The sequence below is a fragment of the Homo sapiens genome, chromosome 1, assembly GCF_000001405.40.
Source record: "Homo sapiens chromosome 1, GRCh38.p14 Primary Assembly".
NCBI classification, from domain to species: Eukaryota; Metazoa; Chordata; class Mammalia; order Primates; family Hominidae; genus Homo; species Homo sapiens.
In genome coordinates this window covers 218,912,462-218,928,478 of record NC_000001.11, presented here as the reverse complement: position 1 = coordinate 218,928,478, position 16,017 = coordinate 218,912,462, and the positions used below count along the sequence as shown (strand labels likewise).

Genomic DNA, 16,017 nt, shown 5'->3' with positions numbered 1-16,017 from the left:
GTTGTGTGGCTATTTGTATTATAGTTCTCTATTTCTACTTGCACGTGCTCTGTATTAAGAATGTAAAAGTAGAAATAGAGCTTTTAGACTACTTTGATAGAAATAACTCTATATTCCTATAGCAAATGCTCTCTATCTTCATATGAAATATTCCTGCCTCCCACGAATGCTTATACACTTGAGTGCAAGGGTTTCCAAGCATTGAAACAGTGTTAACTCCTTCATCTGTCTAGCACATTTACCTGAATTAACTTAGGGAAGTCTTTTCTATTGTCCTATGCTATCTCTGAGTCCAGTATTTATGATTTTATTTTTGCCTCCCATTTGATCCTCAGACATTTTTTTATTCAATGAATCTAAGTATGCTTTCTTTTGCTCTTCCTATTTCTAGATGATCTCTCCTCTATTTTTAAAAATTACTTATTATCTTGTGGGATCATATCAATAAAAGTAAACAATTTCAATTTTGTAAATGTAGGTATAAATATACATATACATATATACATGGATAACTAAATAAGTTTTATATCTGTGATCTCTATTGTATTCAGACTCATAGTGGTAATATGTTATTTTCATCTTGTTTCAATCAAATTTAATTTTATCAGATAATAGGATTCTAGGCCTTAAAAATACTTCAGATAAAGTCTCATTCAAACCCATACTTTTGTAGATGCAGAAATTTAGAATAAAAATTTACATAACTTATTAAAGTTCACAGAGTTAGGTATATTAAGTGGTCTACACTTAAAATGCTGTTTCCTGTCAAATATTGTTAATTTATCACATTGTTCATCCCACTCATCACCCGAGGAAGCAGGTAGTCATGAGAAGGAAAAATGAAGAAAAAGAAAATCAACTATTTTATCTTCCTGGTTATAGAGATACTGAAACATGGAGCTGTAAGAAAATAAATATTTTAACTGAATTCAGGAATTGCCCAATGATTTTCAGTATTCATACAACACTTGAATACTGTTAGGTTAAGGCATAAATTGAAAATGGCAATCTATCTTAGAATTAAAACATTTGCATTTCATATACACAAGCAGCACCAGAGTAGCAGTATTATGATTCCAGAAGCACTAGGTTGAGCATGAATGTGTTTGTCATATTCTCTGTTTCTCTTAGCTCCTTTTGGTTGAATTGGCAAATCAACCAACCATCAGAGAAACAACAGGTCTGAATGCATGGGGAAACTTGCTTGCTCAAGCTTATCAAAATGCATATTTTAAAAATATTCAACAATTCACTTTGAAAAATGCTCTGGAACCTAAACCCAGCATCAGTGAGCTGTAGCAGGTGCACTCGGTGGTGACTTGTAAAGGTTTGTAGAAGACGTGGAAGTAATTCAAAGAAAAGAGAGACTTTCCTTTTTTAGTGGAGGGAATGAAGAATAAATTTTAGAAAGATATACCATTTATGTTGAATTTGAAAGGAAAAACATTTAGTGTTCATGCCCAGGCTTGGGCTAAGCCCCAGAAACCAGACTGGACTAATGGCAATCCAAGCACCATAATTAGGCTGAGACAAAAATAAAAGAAGAATATCCTTTTTTTCTTTTTCCTTTTTCCAGGTGACCTGAGACACTGTGTATGCTTGAATTCCCCCATTGATCTCAATAGCATGTATGTCTTTTTGTTTTCAGCTACTGAGTGGAATAGCCTGACAACACTCCAAGTTGTTTCTCACATTTCCACTGGGTATTTTCCCAAAAACTCTGCATGTATTTATTCGTCAGATATATTTAACACGATAGAGTGTTTTTCCATCTAAACATACTCTAGTGAGTCCTTTTGATAACCAAGAGTAATTCATATATGTATGCTTTAGATAAAAATTTTTTAGTGTAGAGTTGGTTTGAAAAGTTACTCAACTTCAATCCAGTGGGATTATTTTTAACCCTCTTAGAGATTACTAGTGGAGCAACTAATATAAGGGAACAGAAATATAAATGGTAAAGAACAAATATGATTTCTACTCTAAGAGAGATAAACATCTACTAATGTATGAAGAGATCTCAGCTGATATCAAAGAGGTTGTGAACAATGTTAGTTTCATCTCATTAGTTAAGGAAAAAATTAAAGAGGAGAGAGGATAAAGTCCTGTTTTTTCTACTTGGTTGGGAGACTATCATCAACATTGGCTTTAATCTTTGGTAATCAACTTTTCTAGCCACTGAATAGAGAGGGAAGGGGGGTTTGTTAGTGATTTGAGTGATTTGAGTTAGTGATTTGAGTGACTGAGCATTTGTTAGTGATTTGAATGATTCTCAATCTGGAATCAACTGAGTTTTTTCTACTTCCTGACGTACTGGCAAATCATTTTTATGAGCCCTTATATGATTCATTGAGCCATTTGGGGAGGGTCAGAGGGCAAGAGTGCCATTTACCAGAGCAAGTTTAAGTTGGGGAAGGCAAGGTCAGAGGGGAAGAGAGACCCTCATTACTCCAGGAAGATTCTGGGGCCAGCTCTGCGCCTGCCCAATTGTGTTAAGCTCACACTGGGTGTTTGTTAACACAAAGCACTAGGCTGCAGGTGTTCTGCACTCTACAGAGTCTTCAAAGATCAGCTTCAAATGTTTCTGTTACTATAAAGAGGATTAAAAGGATTTAAAAACATAGCAGGCCTGTCCAACTGCAAACATATTTGCCAACATTTGCCAGGAGAGGGGAAAAGGGGGTAAGTTATATCAGCTAGAAGTCCTAGTAGTTGAGGAAAACACACTTTTTAGGTTTCTTTTTCTTTTTTCTTTTTTCTTTTTTTTTTTTTTGCATTTCTCTCTCTTTTTTTTCCTTTAATAGCCTGAATGGGGAACTGTAGCACTTTCAACTGGAACTCATTAAGAATTCATGGGGCAGAAAATGTAAGGGGTTCTGGAACCAGAGACTTTGAAAGTCCAGAAATGAGCTATAAATAAACTGCTGCTAATATTCATCTTTTTTCTGATTTTTAAATATGCATATTACACCAGAATGCAAATGTGGAATAAACCAGGTGATTTTTGACTTGAAAGCCTAGTTTACATTAAGAGACACATTGACATTTATGGACTTACTTAGCACATATAGGTATCACAACAGTCATTACACCTTCTCGAAAAGCACTTTTGTTATCCCATATGGGTTGCATGTATTGACCAACATCACCTGCAGGTGAAAGCATGAAGGCCAGGCATCTGGAATCATGGTTAAGATACTATTATTACTAATTATTGTTAATGGTTTTTAACATGAATTTCCAATTTCTTTGTTTTCAACTTAGCCCTCGTTCAATAACCTGCCTTTAGTAGTACTGGTTCCTCTACAGAGAACATTGATTTTCAATGAGGTCTAGTGAAGAGACAGAAAACTGAGTCAGCTGTGTAATCTTAGGTAGATCAAATACCTTTTCTGACTTTAGCTTCTTTGTTGATTGAATGGGGGTTATAATAATCCTATGAATCTATCCACCTCATAAGACTTGACATTTTTATTATAGGAATAAGGCTGAAACTAAAGATGACTTCTTAGCATGTGTTTATAGATAAGATGTGAAGGTATACACAAGCACACACACATGCACACACATGCTCATATCTCCCATTTGCATCACACCAACTCTCGAATTTCTAGGGTAATATTATACACATTGGCTTGTTTAATGGAATTTGCTTCTGGAGGACACTGGAAAAAACTTTCATTTAAGTATTTTAAAATCACATAATGTGTGTTGCAGGAATTCCTGACATGGGCTCATGGACACTGCAGACTCAGAGATAGGCCTCAGAGGTCCTCCCCTCAAGGACTGCATGCAGACATTCAGTGTGCAATACATGCATTTTTGTGGAAAGAAGTTCTATAGCTTTTATCAATTCTTGAAGGAGTCTGTAGCCTTGAAAATATTTAATGACCGCTCTTCTACAAGCTCTAAGAATGTAATGCAGTGGATGAGCCCAGAGGTTGTCTCTCCAAAGAGACAGATAGCTTTTGTCTGATTTGATGGCTCTCCTTTAGTTCTCTTTCTTCCATTCCATCATCTGTACAGAAAGTATAAAATAATACATGTTTAAAAATGAAATTAAATAATGCACTTTTAACACAGCTTTTGGTAATGTTCAGCAAATATTAGCTATTGTTTCCACAGGTAAATATTAGATAGCACCCTGAGAGGGAGGAGGGGTGTATTAGTCCATTCTCATGCTGCTAATAAAGACACACCTGAGACTGGCTAATTTATAAAGAAAAGAGGTTTAGTGGACTCACAGTTCCACATGGCTGGGGAGGCCTCACAATCACGGTGGAAGGCTAAGGAAGAGCAAAGGCATGTCTTACATGGTGGCAGTCCAGAGAGCTTGCTCAGGGGAACTCCCCTTTATAAAACCATCAGATCTAATTAGACTTATTCACTATCAGGAGAACAGCATTGGAAAACCCACCCCCCCACCCCCTGATTCAATTACTTCTCACTGGGTACTTCCCATGACATGTGGGGATTATTACAATTCAGGGTGTGATTTGGGTGGGGACATAGATCCAAACCATATCAAGGGGCACACAGGAGACCTTGCCCTTGATTAACTTGCCTTTGAGTAACTTGAGGAGACCAGATACATTAATATGAAACAGTAAAATAACAATGATGAGGATCTGTGGAAATTTCAAATAAATGATGCAGGTAATTTTACATGTGTTCAGCTTGAGGAGGAATCTGTGTAATTTGAGATATGAAGAATAGATGAAGGGTACTGAGCAGCATATCAGGAGGTTGAGGAGGCATGAGTTGGCTTCAAGTTGAGAAGCACCCAGAGATAAGTGTGGTCAGACAGGTCGAAGCAAGATTATTGAGAGTCCAGAATGGCATGGTGTGGAGTTCAGATTTTACCCGTAGGAGATAGCGGCCTTAGGTTATTTTGAGCAAAAAAATTACATAATGAAAACAATATATTGGAAGTATTAATTTGGCATATGTGGGCAGGATGGAGTAGCATGAGGAAGGACTGGAGTCAGGGAGCGAGCTGGGAGCCATGGCAATAACCAAGGTGTGAAGTGATGAGGGCCTGCCCCAGTATGGGAATATTTGTAGAAGGTGTATGGGGACATTGTATCCACCTTAATTGCTTATTTGCTACAATTTCAGCTTCCAACCACAGTTTGCCTTGGCTATGAAACCTTCCTGACTCTGAAAATACTCATTCCAGTCTTCCAACAGTGAAAGGGAGCAAGGAAGGAAGGTGGGAAGGAAAGAGGGGAAGGAAAGAGGGAGGGAGGAAGAGAATTCTTGGAGCAGGCAGATTGGGCTTCTGGTGTGAAGACGGGGTTTTAAGCAACAGTAGTTTCGGGGAAATAAGGAGAAAAAGAGGTATAGATGTTCATTTGAATTTATTTAATTCAGGAATAACTTCCTTTAAAAGAACCAACATCACTGCAGAATGAGTGAATTTAATCTCCTATTTACACCAGACAGGTCCAGAAGATGCAGAGAACAGGCATTACTCTTCTTATTGGGCTGCAGGGCCACCTAAACTTGGGCTTTCAAACTTTTTTGACCATCAGCCCATAATAAAAAAATAAATTTTGCATTACAATCAAACACATACAATGATGAATATAAACATAGTTGAAATAAGTGTTCTATAGAACATTTCTACTCTGACTACTTGTGATATTCTTTGATTTTTTTCCTAATCTATTTATTTTGAGATTTTTTACAAAAGTTGGTTGCGGCTACTTCAGATGATTTCCTGAACAATTAATGGATCACAAACTGCTTTTTACAAACCACAGACTTCTCAGAACTGGGGACATCACATCAGGATCTTCAGATTCATGGATTCACAGACATAGGGGAATGTTTTACTTCTGTTCCCTACCCACCTGCACCACCCAAGCCTTTCTCCTCTCTGAAGTTCCATGAACTGACAATAAATGGAGGCAGTTGCTCTAGTAAGTTTAAAACTCAGTTTCAGAATATGATCTCAGATTCAGAGCCTGCCTGCAAACCTTCTGGCAATGCCAACTCACTCACTGGCTTGATGGCCCTCACTTGGGACACAAGCCCACACACAAAGATCCATCAACAAAGATTGCTCCTACTGAGTCCTGAACCCCGACACAATGACCACAATTGGTGCAGACATTTTAATGTCTTGGGCTAGTTCCTTATATTATCCTTGGCTCTAGTGGACCAAGGCACACATAGTAACATTCTTTACCTGTAGTTAGCTGTAATTTCAAACTAGGTGGAATTCTTTCCTAGCTTTGAAACCACAAAATAAAATCAAAGAAATAGGATCCTTTGCAAACTGTGGCTCTGCATTGATGAGGAGGGGTGAAAGGTAAGCACATGGCCTCAGGTTGAAAATAACTTCTAAAATGTCTGATTTTAATCATGGGTCCAAATTATCTGGGCACACGGCAGTCATTAAAGCCTCCTGTATAGAAGTCCCTCTTGTGTGTATGTGCATACCTATGATTTAGCATTCTGTCTCAACAGTCAGTAGGACATCAAAGCAGAGAAGGAAAAGTGAATTAAGGCAATGAAAATCAATCTGGTTTAAGAGGATTGGGTCTTTCTATGCACTCAGCTAGTTATCACTATTCTGGAAAGAAAAATGTAGAGTGTCAATTCTAGGAGGCATAAATCAAAATAGGATACACAATTACTCCCACTTATGTGCTCATCTGGTTAAAAAAGAAAAAAGACTAAAGTTGTAAGAATAATTCTGGTAGAATGAACTCTAGTATTCCTCACTGGCCATTCTTCTTTTTGGAACGCTGGTTAACTTATAACCTGATTTTGAATATTTCCCTGGATAGTTGAGTCTATGTAGTAGACAGTGTTGAGTATTTTGGTAGGCCCCTGGTTTCCTTTACAGTGTAAAGATTGGGTAGATATGTTGTCAGCTCAATCTTCAAGTAAAGCTCCTAATTAAATGGTTCTAGAACTGTGGTGCATTAACCCCCTGAAAGGAAGTCAATGGATAAAATTTTAAATTTTTATGGAAAATTTTGTGTGAAAAGGTATACCTCATTTTACTGTACTTCACTTTTTTTAAAATTATACTTTAAGTTTTAGGGTACATGTGCACAACGTGCAGGTTTGTTACATATGTATACATGTGCCGTGTTGGTGTGCTGCACCCATTAACTCGTCATTTAGCATTAGGTATATCTCCTAATGCTATCCCTCCCCCTTCCCACCACCCCACAAAACTTTATTCCGTTTTGTAGGTGTTGTTTCTTTACAAATTGAAGGTTTGTAGCAACCATGAATTGAGCAAATCTATTGGCACCATTTTTCCAATAGCATGGGCTCACTTTTTGTCTCTGTGTCGCATTATGATAATTCTTATAATATCTCAAATTTTTATTATTATTGTATCTATTATAGTGATCTATGATAAATTATTTTTGATATTACTATTGTAGTTGTTTGGGGACACCATGAACTGTGCCCACATCAGATTGGGCACAGATTAAGCAAACTTAATCAATAAATGCTGTAAGTGTTCTGACTGCTCCACTGACCAGCTGTTCCCCTGTCTCTCTTCCTCTCCTTGGGCCTCCTTATTCCTTAAGACACAAAAGCATTGAAATTAGGCCAATTAATAACCCTAAAACAACTTCTAAGTGTTCATATGAAAGAAATCGTTGAACATCTCTCACTTTAAATCAAAAGCTAGAATTGTTTATGCTTAGCAAGGAAGGCATGTTGAAAGCCAACATAATCTAAAAGCTAGGCCTCTTGCACCAAACCAGTTAGCTAAGTTGTGAATACAAAGTAAAAGCCCTTGAAGGGTCCAGTGAACAAACAAATGATAAGAAAGCAAAAATAGCCTGATTGCTGGTATTGGAGAAAGTTTTGGTGGTCCAGATAGAATATCAACCAGCCATGACATTCCCTTAAGCCAAAACCTAATCCAGAGCAAGTCCCTCACTCTATTCAGTTCTGTGAGGGCTGAGAGAGGTGAGGAAGCTTCAGAAGAAAAGTTGGAAGCAAGCAGAGGTTGGTTCTTGAGGCTTAAGGAAAATGCCATCTCTGCAACATAAAACCAGCAAGTGCTGACACAGAAGCTGCAGCAAGTTATCTGGACATTTTGACTAAGATGAAGGTGGGTACACTAAACGACAGATTTCTGATGTCAGCAAAACAGCCTTCTATTGAAAGAAGATGACATATAGGACTTTCCTAGCAAGAAAAGAGAAGTTAATGCCTGGCTTCAAACCTTCAAAGGACAGGCTGACTCTCTTGTTAGGGGCTAATGCAGCCGGTGACTTTAAGTTGAAGCTAATGCTCATTTACCATTCTAAAAATCCAAGGGTCCTTAAGAATTATGCTAAATTTATTCTTCCTGTGCTCTGTAAAAGTAACAACAAAGCCTTGAGGACAGCTTATTGGTCTACAGCATGGTTTACTGAATATTTTAAGCTCATTCTTGTGATCTACTCTTCAGAAAAAAGATTCCTTTCAATATATTACTTCTCATTGACATTTTGCCTAGTCACCCAAGATCTCTGATGAAGATGTACAAGGATATGAATGTTGTTTTCATGCCTGCTAACACAATGTGCATTCTAAAGCCAGCAGATCAAGGAATAATTTTAATTTTCAAGTTTCATCATTTAAAATACACATTTTGTAAGATTATAGCTACCATAGGTAGTGATTCCTCTGATAGATCTAAGCCAAGTAAATTGAAAACCTTGTAGAAAGGATTGACCATTCTAGATGTCATTAAGAACATTTGTATTTATAGGAGGTCAGAATGTCAACATTAACAGAGTTTGGAAGAAGCTGTTTACAACCCTCAGGGATGACTTTGAGAGATTAAAGTGCTGGGTGCCTGGATGATATTTCAGATATGAAGGGAAACAACAGTTAGCTACTTACCATTTTCTTCTTTTTTTCAAGACAGATGGAGACTTGCTTACTAAGTTAAGTGATATGTGTGAGGATTCACAGTGGAGAAAACCAGAGGGAGATAAATGATGCCACAGAAGAATGGGCATACTGTGTGGCTGAGAGGCAGGAGGCAGAGTGGATCCAGAGTGGCCAGAGGCTGCATAGATGGGAATTTCCAGGAGAAAGGAGAGAAGTGGGGAGCTGAGACTAGGAGAAGAACATTAATGGATAATGGGGGGATCACGGAGGTGGCCAGATAGGCTTCTCCTCTGTGATGTACATGCACCTCTCTTCAATAATTCCCCATTAAATTTGATTAAACATTTTATTTCTCATTGTGGAGTTAAATTTATTTCAGCAATGCATCAAAGTTCAGTCTTAAGGTGCAAGGCAAAGACTGAGTACCCAGCCTGAGACCTATGACATCTGGGTTACAGGTGTGAGGTAGCGTATCTAGTAGCTGTGGATACTAAGTGGAAGAGTAGCCAAGGCTGGATCTTCTAGGAAATGTGTGGCTTCTTCAGAGAGCAATGGGTCTGGCTTTGTATTTCTGATAGACAACTCTTACCACTCGTGTTGTTACGCTACCGTGAAACTCTCTGGTTTCTCTAAGTATAAAAGAAACTCCTGTCTCTATTCGCTGGTCTTAAGAAAGTCAACATCTGGCTTGGTTTGTGACCAGCCTTCCGTGATCTCTCCTGGGCCAAGGGTTTTCCTCCCAGTCATTTGACAATTTGAGACACTGATGATGCTGTTTCATTTTTCTGGTTTAAGGAATGGTTCCAGATTAAGATTCCACAGTTGTCAGGGATGCTATTGTACTCTATTATCCTTTATCAGCTAGTGTATGCATTTGACAGCTACCCAGTTGGCTCTGATGAGGTGTAGAGAATCCTATCGAAGATAGGGCACATTAGCATACTGAGTATTTTATGCTGAAGGAAATTGAGAAAACTGCGGAAGCAGAAAGTTGCCTCTGACCTCTCTTAAAGACCCTCATGTGACAAGTGTCCTGCTCTATACACAGAGGGAAGGAACTACACAAACAGGCCAAGAAGAATCTGGAGAAACAGTCTTTTCTAAGCCCTCCCCAGTTTACTGACACTAGGTCATACCTCCTTTTTGTTTAATTATACCTTTACAGGACTATCTATTCTTCATCAAACCTAAGCATAAAAATATACAGTTTTCCCTGGGTCTTCATTTCTGAAAGTTGTCATGTCAAGGAAAACTTATATTAAGCTTATATTAAATAAATTTGTCACACTTTTATCTTGTTAATCTATATTTTGTTGTAGGAGTCTCAGCCATGAACCTAATGGTGGGTAAGTAAAGAAGATATTATTTTCTCCCTTACAGCTGATAGCAACTCAGAGTCATCGTCTTTTCAGCATTACTGCCCTCAACTAAAGGGAATGTGCTTGGCCCAGGGGGATACATTCCCCAGACTTTGGCCAATCTTTGGCTGACATGGGGGTGCAAAAGTCTAACCCCTCTAACTCAAAGTATGACCAGCTCTGTGGTACAACTTGTGCTCCAGAGCTCCTAGGGGGTCAGACTGAAGCAAGTCACCACCTGACACTAGGTGTTTAGTTTTTCTCCCCTTCCATTTCTTTTTCCCTTACTCTCCTTCTCTTGAGACTACTCCCCTAATAAATCACATAAACAGAATGTCTGTCTTAGGCTTTGCTTCCAGGAGCTCTATCCAAGACAATAGTTGAATCCAATCCCAAAGTATCAGCTGAATTCAAATGAACCTTTAGTCTTGATGTTCTCATTTTCAGATAATGGAAAATCTTTATTCATTCAAATATTCAAGTGGGAAAACATGAGTCGTTCTGGATTTTCACAACTCATATCCAGTTACCAAATTCTGTTCATTTCCTCTCAAAAATATACTTCAAAGATATCCACACATCTCCATACTGTGCTCTGAGTTCAAGCCTCCATAATCTCTCATCTCTGAAATAGACTTTGTGCCTCCAAATATGTTCTCTATACTACAATCATAGTAGCATTTCAGAATTTGGTGCATGCTTATTAAAATCCTTCAGTGACTCACTATTGCCTATAGCAGTGGTTCTCAGTGGAGTTTATTCAAAGCTTCATGAAGTGAGATATCATAGTCAAAGCAGATATGAAAATCCAGGTGTCTAGTAAGCAGATATCTTAGAGACATTTGCAACAATGTAAAATAATGACACTCCTTCCTAAACTTTCCTTGTTTTGGAAGACATATAGTTATTTTTCCTAAAAGTATTTTATCTAAGTTTGCATATAATGAGCTTATTATTTTTAAAAAGTAAGTTAATAAATGTTTCTTAAAATGCATATTTCTCAGGTTTAAATTATAATATGATGAAATAAATAGCTGTGACTCATATAAACAAAAGCTCTTTAGGGTTCTTAATACTTTTTAAGTTTGTAAAGAGATTTTGAGATGGAAATGTTTGTGAACCACTGGCTTACACAATTAAGTCAAAAGTACCTAGAATGTCATCCAAGATTAGCCAGGACTTTGATCCCACCTTTCTCTTCATCCTCCTCTTTTGCCACTTTCTGCCTTTACTCTGTATGTTGGTGTAATAGATGCTTTGGTAGCTGCAAACCCTGTGCCCCACACCCTTTAAGCCTGAGCATTCATTCTCCCAGCTGCTTGGAGTGCTGGCTTCTGGTAGATCTCAGATGAATTCCTTTCTGGGAATCCCTCAGTCATAGCATGCAGTCTCAACCAGGGTTTACCCTCGCTGGCTGAGGACAGCCTGAATTCACTTACTTGTCAAGGCAAGAATACAAAGGCCTGGACCATTTGCATCAATTTCCGATGCTGACTCTGCAGGACCATTCCAGCTCCAGAGAGTCCCACAAGCTTGGTCAAGGCCTCTGCTGCAACTGTGTCTCACTTTTCCCTCATTCAATCCTGAATCCTCGCTCTCTCACAGGTGATTTTCCCAGAGCTCCACTCAATAAACCTCTGCCTCAGAGGTGAACCCCTGCCTCATTCTGTTACCCAGGGAATCATCCCTTAAACTTCTGGTGACTCTGAACTGTTTATAAATCCCTGGACATCCCATTCTCTTTCATTCTGCCTGATATTGTTTCCTTTACCTGACTACATCCTTCAATCGATATATCTAGATAACATCTACATAATCTAGATCTCAATACTTACCTCAAATACTGTCTCTTCCAGAGGGTCTTTGAGGAGGGCTGCATGCTCCTAATTTGTGCCTCTGCAGTAATTTGTTCCTCACTCTATCAAAGACATATCATATTACATTGAAGTAATCTGTCTCCTCAACTAGCCTGGATGTCATAATGCCCAGGGCTTGCGTCTGATTAATTGTATGTCATTTATATGCCCTTCCTTGGAGAAGACACTCAGTAATCCTATATTAATCTCTTTTTTGAGGCTTGAAAAGTGGAGTACGGCTTCTGCATTTCTATACAACATTAAGGTCAGTAAAGAAGCCTTGTGTGGCCTTTCAGTTGCTGTTGCTTATGAAAATATTCTGCATTTAGAAGACATTTAGCCTGCTCTGTGCCACAAAATAAAGTTTCTCTGAATCATAAGTCAGGGTTCTTGAGACCTATAAGAAACTACTGAGGCAGATTTATTGAGCATTGGGGCCAAACTTGGGAATACGATGAGAACGTATGTGTGAGAAACCAGCCGAGGAAGAAAGATTTGCATCTTGTGGGAATATGGTTATCCTACAGCAGCAAAATTTAATGAAAGTGTTTCAAGAATCTCAGAAACCTTCCTGTAAGGGATCCCTAAATAATCAGGAAGTGCTCCTGGGAGAACTCAGAAATTTCCATATGATGGCATGTGTTGGCCAACGATATGTGTTCATGGCCAATATCTTAACTATATCTTTTTGAGAGACCCTGAGCCATATCCAAACAGCTAAGCCACTCTGGAATTCCAAAGTTTTAAGGCAGTTTTTGTTATGCAGCAATAGATAACTAACACATGTATCCAGTAAAATAAGTGAAATCTATTTCCATCATGTGCTTTACATTAAGATTCAACCAAAAATATGGATTGTCTAATATAACGTCACATCTTTTGTGAAGTGTTTCAAAATAAATTATCTTATTCACATTGTATAACCCTATTATGGGTGTATAATTAAGCAGATTTTTACATGGTAGGAAGCTAGGTCTCAAAGAGGTAAGGTGACTTAACCATGTTTTCACATCTAGAAAGTGAAGAAGTCAGAACTCACACCCAGTTCTCTCTGACCAGAAATCCCATTTTCTTCTTGCTACAGTTTCAAAGGACAGATGAAAGCAGAAGAGCCATAGAAGAAGGCTCTAGGTGCTCAGTTACTGCTACATCTTTACCATCCTGCACGGTACACTCATTATGTTAAACCTTGATTGAAAATATGACATCATTGCATAATCTATATTTCTTTATGTTTGATCTAATTTTTCCAGAATTCCTTTTTTTTTCCCCCCAAGATGGAGTCTTCTTCTGTCACCCAGGCTGGAGTGCAGTGGCGCAATCTCAGCTCACTGCAACCTCTGCTTCCTGGGTTCAAGCAATTCTCCTATCTCAGCCTCCTGAGCAGCTAGGATTACAGGGACTCGCCACTGTGCCTGGCTAATTTTTTTGTATTTTTAGTAGAGACAAGGTTTCACCATGTTGTCCAGGCTGGTCTCGAACTCCTGACCTCGTGATCGGCCTGCCTCAGCCTCCCAAAGTGCTGGAATTACAGACGTGAGCCAGCGCACCCAGGCCAGAGTTCATCTTTAGACAAAATGTCAAGTGAAAAATCCACATATCGATTCTGGCTATTGTGAAGAAATAGGCTTTGTGAACGTCAGTTTGAAAACTATGATCATGTTTTTTATCTGGGTATTCAGACAGAAGAATAATGAAGATTATACCTCTTTATTGTACTCCTGTCTACAGAATCACAGAAGAACAGATAAAATGCGACATTAAGGCATAAGCCATATTTCATGTTTATCCCTGTATCCCGAATACCGAATTCCATATCTGGTCTATGTTAGATAATTAATAAGTAAATGTTGATTATTATAACATGTGATAAATGGGCAGCTTTATAAAACAAATAGACTCTTACCTTCTAGCCAACGTTGGTTAAAGATATATATAGCTGTATAGAAAGAAATGCATGAATCTGACAGAAAATAATTCAAACATGAACACATTTCTTGATGGAGATTATTCAAGTTTTATACAATAGTACCAGTGAACGATGTCTGAACCTCGTTATATTTAGTTATATTAAAGAAAAAGCTGTTACATTAAAGAAAATACTGAGCTATCACTTTTTCATTTTATCCAAGGAATATGTGGCATTTTTCATGCCTCATATTGAAAGAAATTACTTGCTTTCTACATTTATTCTCTATTAGCATTTTGCCATTTGGGGTAACATTATCATTTTGATGAAGATAAGCATTTCATGTAGGAACATTTAAACAAGTTGAATTGCAGTCCATGTAAAAATTATACTTGTTTGCTTCATGAATACTTAATAATTACTTAATTATAAAAAACAAGCCCCAATGTCTTTTATTATGTTAAGGTAGAGAAACTAGCAGATTTTAGACCGTATGCTTAAGGGTTATAATCATTCTTATTGTTCTTTCACTCTTTTCCACTATAGTCTATCACCTGTCAAATTCTATTTGGAATACAGGGATTTTTTCATTGTTGTTGAGAAGAAATTAAAAACAGATTTGTTTAGCTTACTATTCTACTTCCAGTGACTAAAATTGGTATCACTGTATTTGACAATGATGATGTGATTTCTGCTGTCTTTGAGGAATTTCAGCTCACACAATTTGGCATTGCAGAACCAGGCCCTACTAAGAGGATCTCATTCACTGAAAAATAATTAAGGAGGAAATTTCAACAAAACAACCAGTGTTGTATGCTTAAACACATTTATAGGAAGACAATAATATTGTTCTGTGCTAACAGTTGCTTGATTTCTGGTCTTTCAGGGAAAAAAAAATGACAAATAGTTTTTCTATGTAGTTAGAGGGGTCACTTTGCTCAATTTAGGTCACTTAGTCTTCTTCAATACTGAAGATGAAAACTCGGAGCTACACTGCCTTAGTTAAAATTCTGGCTCTGCCACTAACTAGTGTGTGATATTCAGCAAGTTGCCTAACTTATCTGTGCCCTTGTCCTTAACAGAAAGATGAGGTTAATAATAGTATTTATTTCAGTAAGGGTATAATGAGGATTAAATAAACCAAGCTTACTAAGTGCTTATAATAGAGGCTGACACATAGTAAGTTCTCAGTCAAATTTAGCTACCATTCATTTATTCAACAGTAGTTTTATTATCATTTTTCTTTTATAATTCTACTACAGTGTCTGTAACTCATGGAACTAACAGCAGTAACTCTTTCACAGAAGGTATTTTCTCACATTGAATATGGTCACACCAAGGCTTCAGATTGCCATATGGGTTACCATCTAAAAAAGAAATTTATAATACATCCTCATAGAATTTCTCAAGAGGTCATGGAGAAAATTCCTCTCCATTCCATATGATTGATAAAAGCATATTTCTTCTCTTCTCTGCAGCCTCTTTTACTTATGGCTAGATTCCCGCTAACAAATGTTGGATAAGAAACACTGTCTGAATCACAAGAACAGAGAGGTTAGGAGAAATAGTTTTGCTCACTCCTTCCATGTGGTGAAACATCTACTAATGCAATACTCCAGTCCTCTCTCTATCCTTACTCACATGAAAATGCAATGGTTCGATTTGTAAAGGTAAATAAACAGATGTGTTATTTTGCATGTATCTACATTATACTTGATATTTGAAATCTGCCGTCAACTCTTTGCCTCAGTAGTCTGCCAGTTTTACTTAGTAAGTGGGTAGCAGAGAGTCCAAGTCAAAGGATCTACAAGATTCTTTCATTTCATTTCAAAGATGGAAAATGACAGACACTAAAGCTCACAGAAGGCAAGTAATTCTCTCAAGAGTAAAGAATATATACGTTAATAATGCATTAAAATAATATTCCTTACATTCTGGTTATAAGTATACTCTCCAAATTGACTGTTTTAGTTTTTTATGCAGGAAACACTCTTAACCATTTATTCAACTTACTCCCCATAAGCATCTGTTT

At 37.6% G+C, this 16,017-nt stretch overlaps 2 long non-coding RNA genes across 2 annotated transcripts; one reads left to right on the top strand and one right to left on the bottom strand.

The window, feature by feature from the left end:
• Positions 1 to 3,653: 3,653 nt before the first annotated feature.
• Positions 3,654 to 9,634, bottom strand: LOC124904513 (uncharacterized). Its single transcript, XR_007066881.1, has 3 exons — positions 9,452 to 9,634; positions 8,872 to 9,040; positions 3,654 to 4,018 (listed from the first exon to the last, which is right to left on the bottom strand). It is a non-coding gene; the product is annotated as an uncharacterized LOC124904513 (long non-coding RNA).
• Positions 9,635 to 9,967: 333 nt separating this feature from the next.
• On the top strand, positions 9,968 to 15,722 carry LINC01710 (long intergenic non-protein coding RNA 1710). Its single transcript, NR_146917.1, has 5 exons — positions 9,968 to 9,991; positions 10,182 to 10,208; positions 12,296 to 12,341; positions 13,161 to 13,244; positions 15,464 to 15,722. It is a non-coding gene; the product is annotated as a long intergenic non-protein coding RNA 1710 (long non-coding RNA).
• The last annotated feature ends 295 nt before the right edge of the window (positions 15,723 to 16,017 follow it).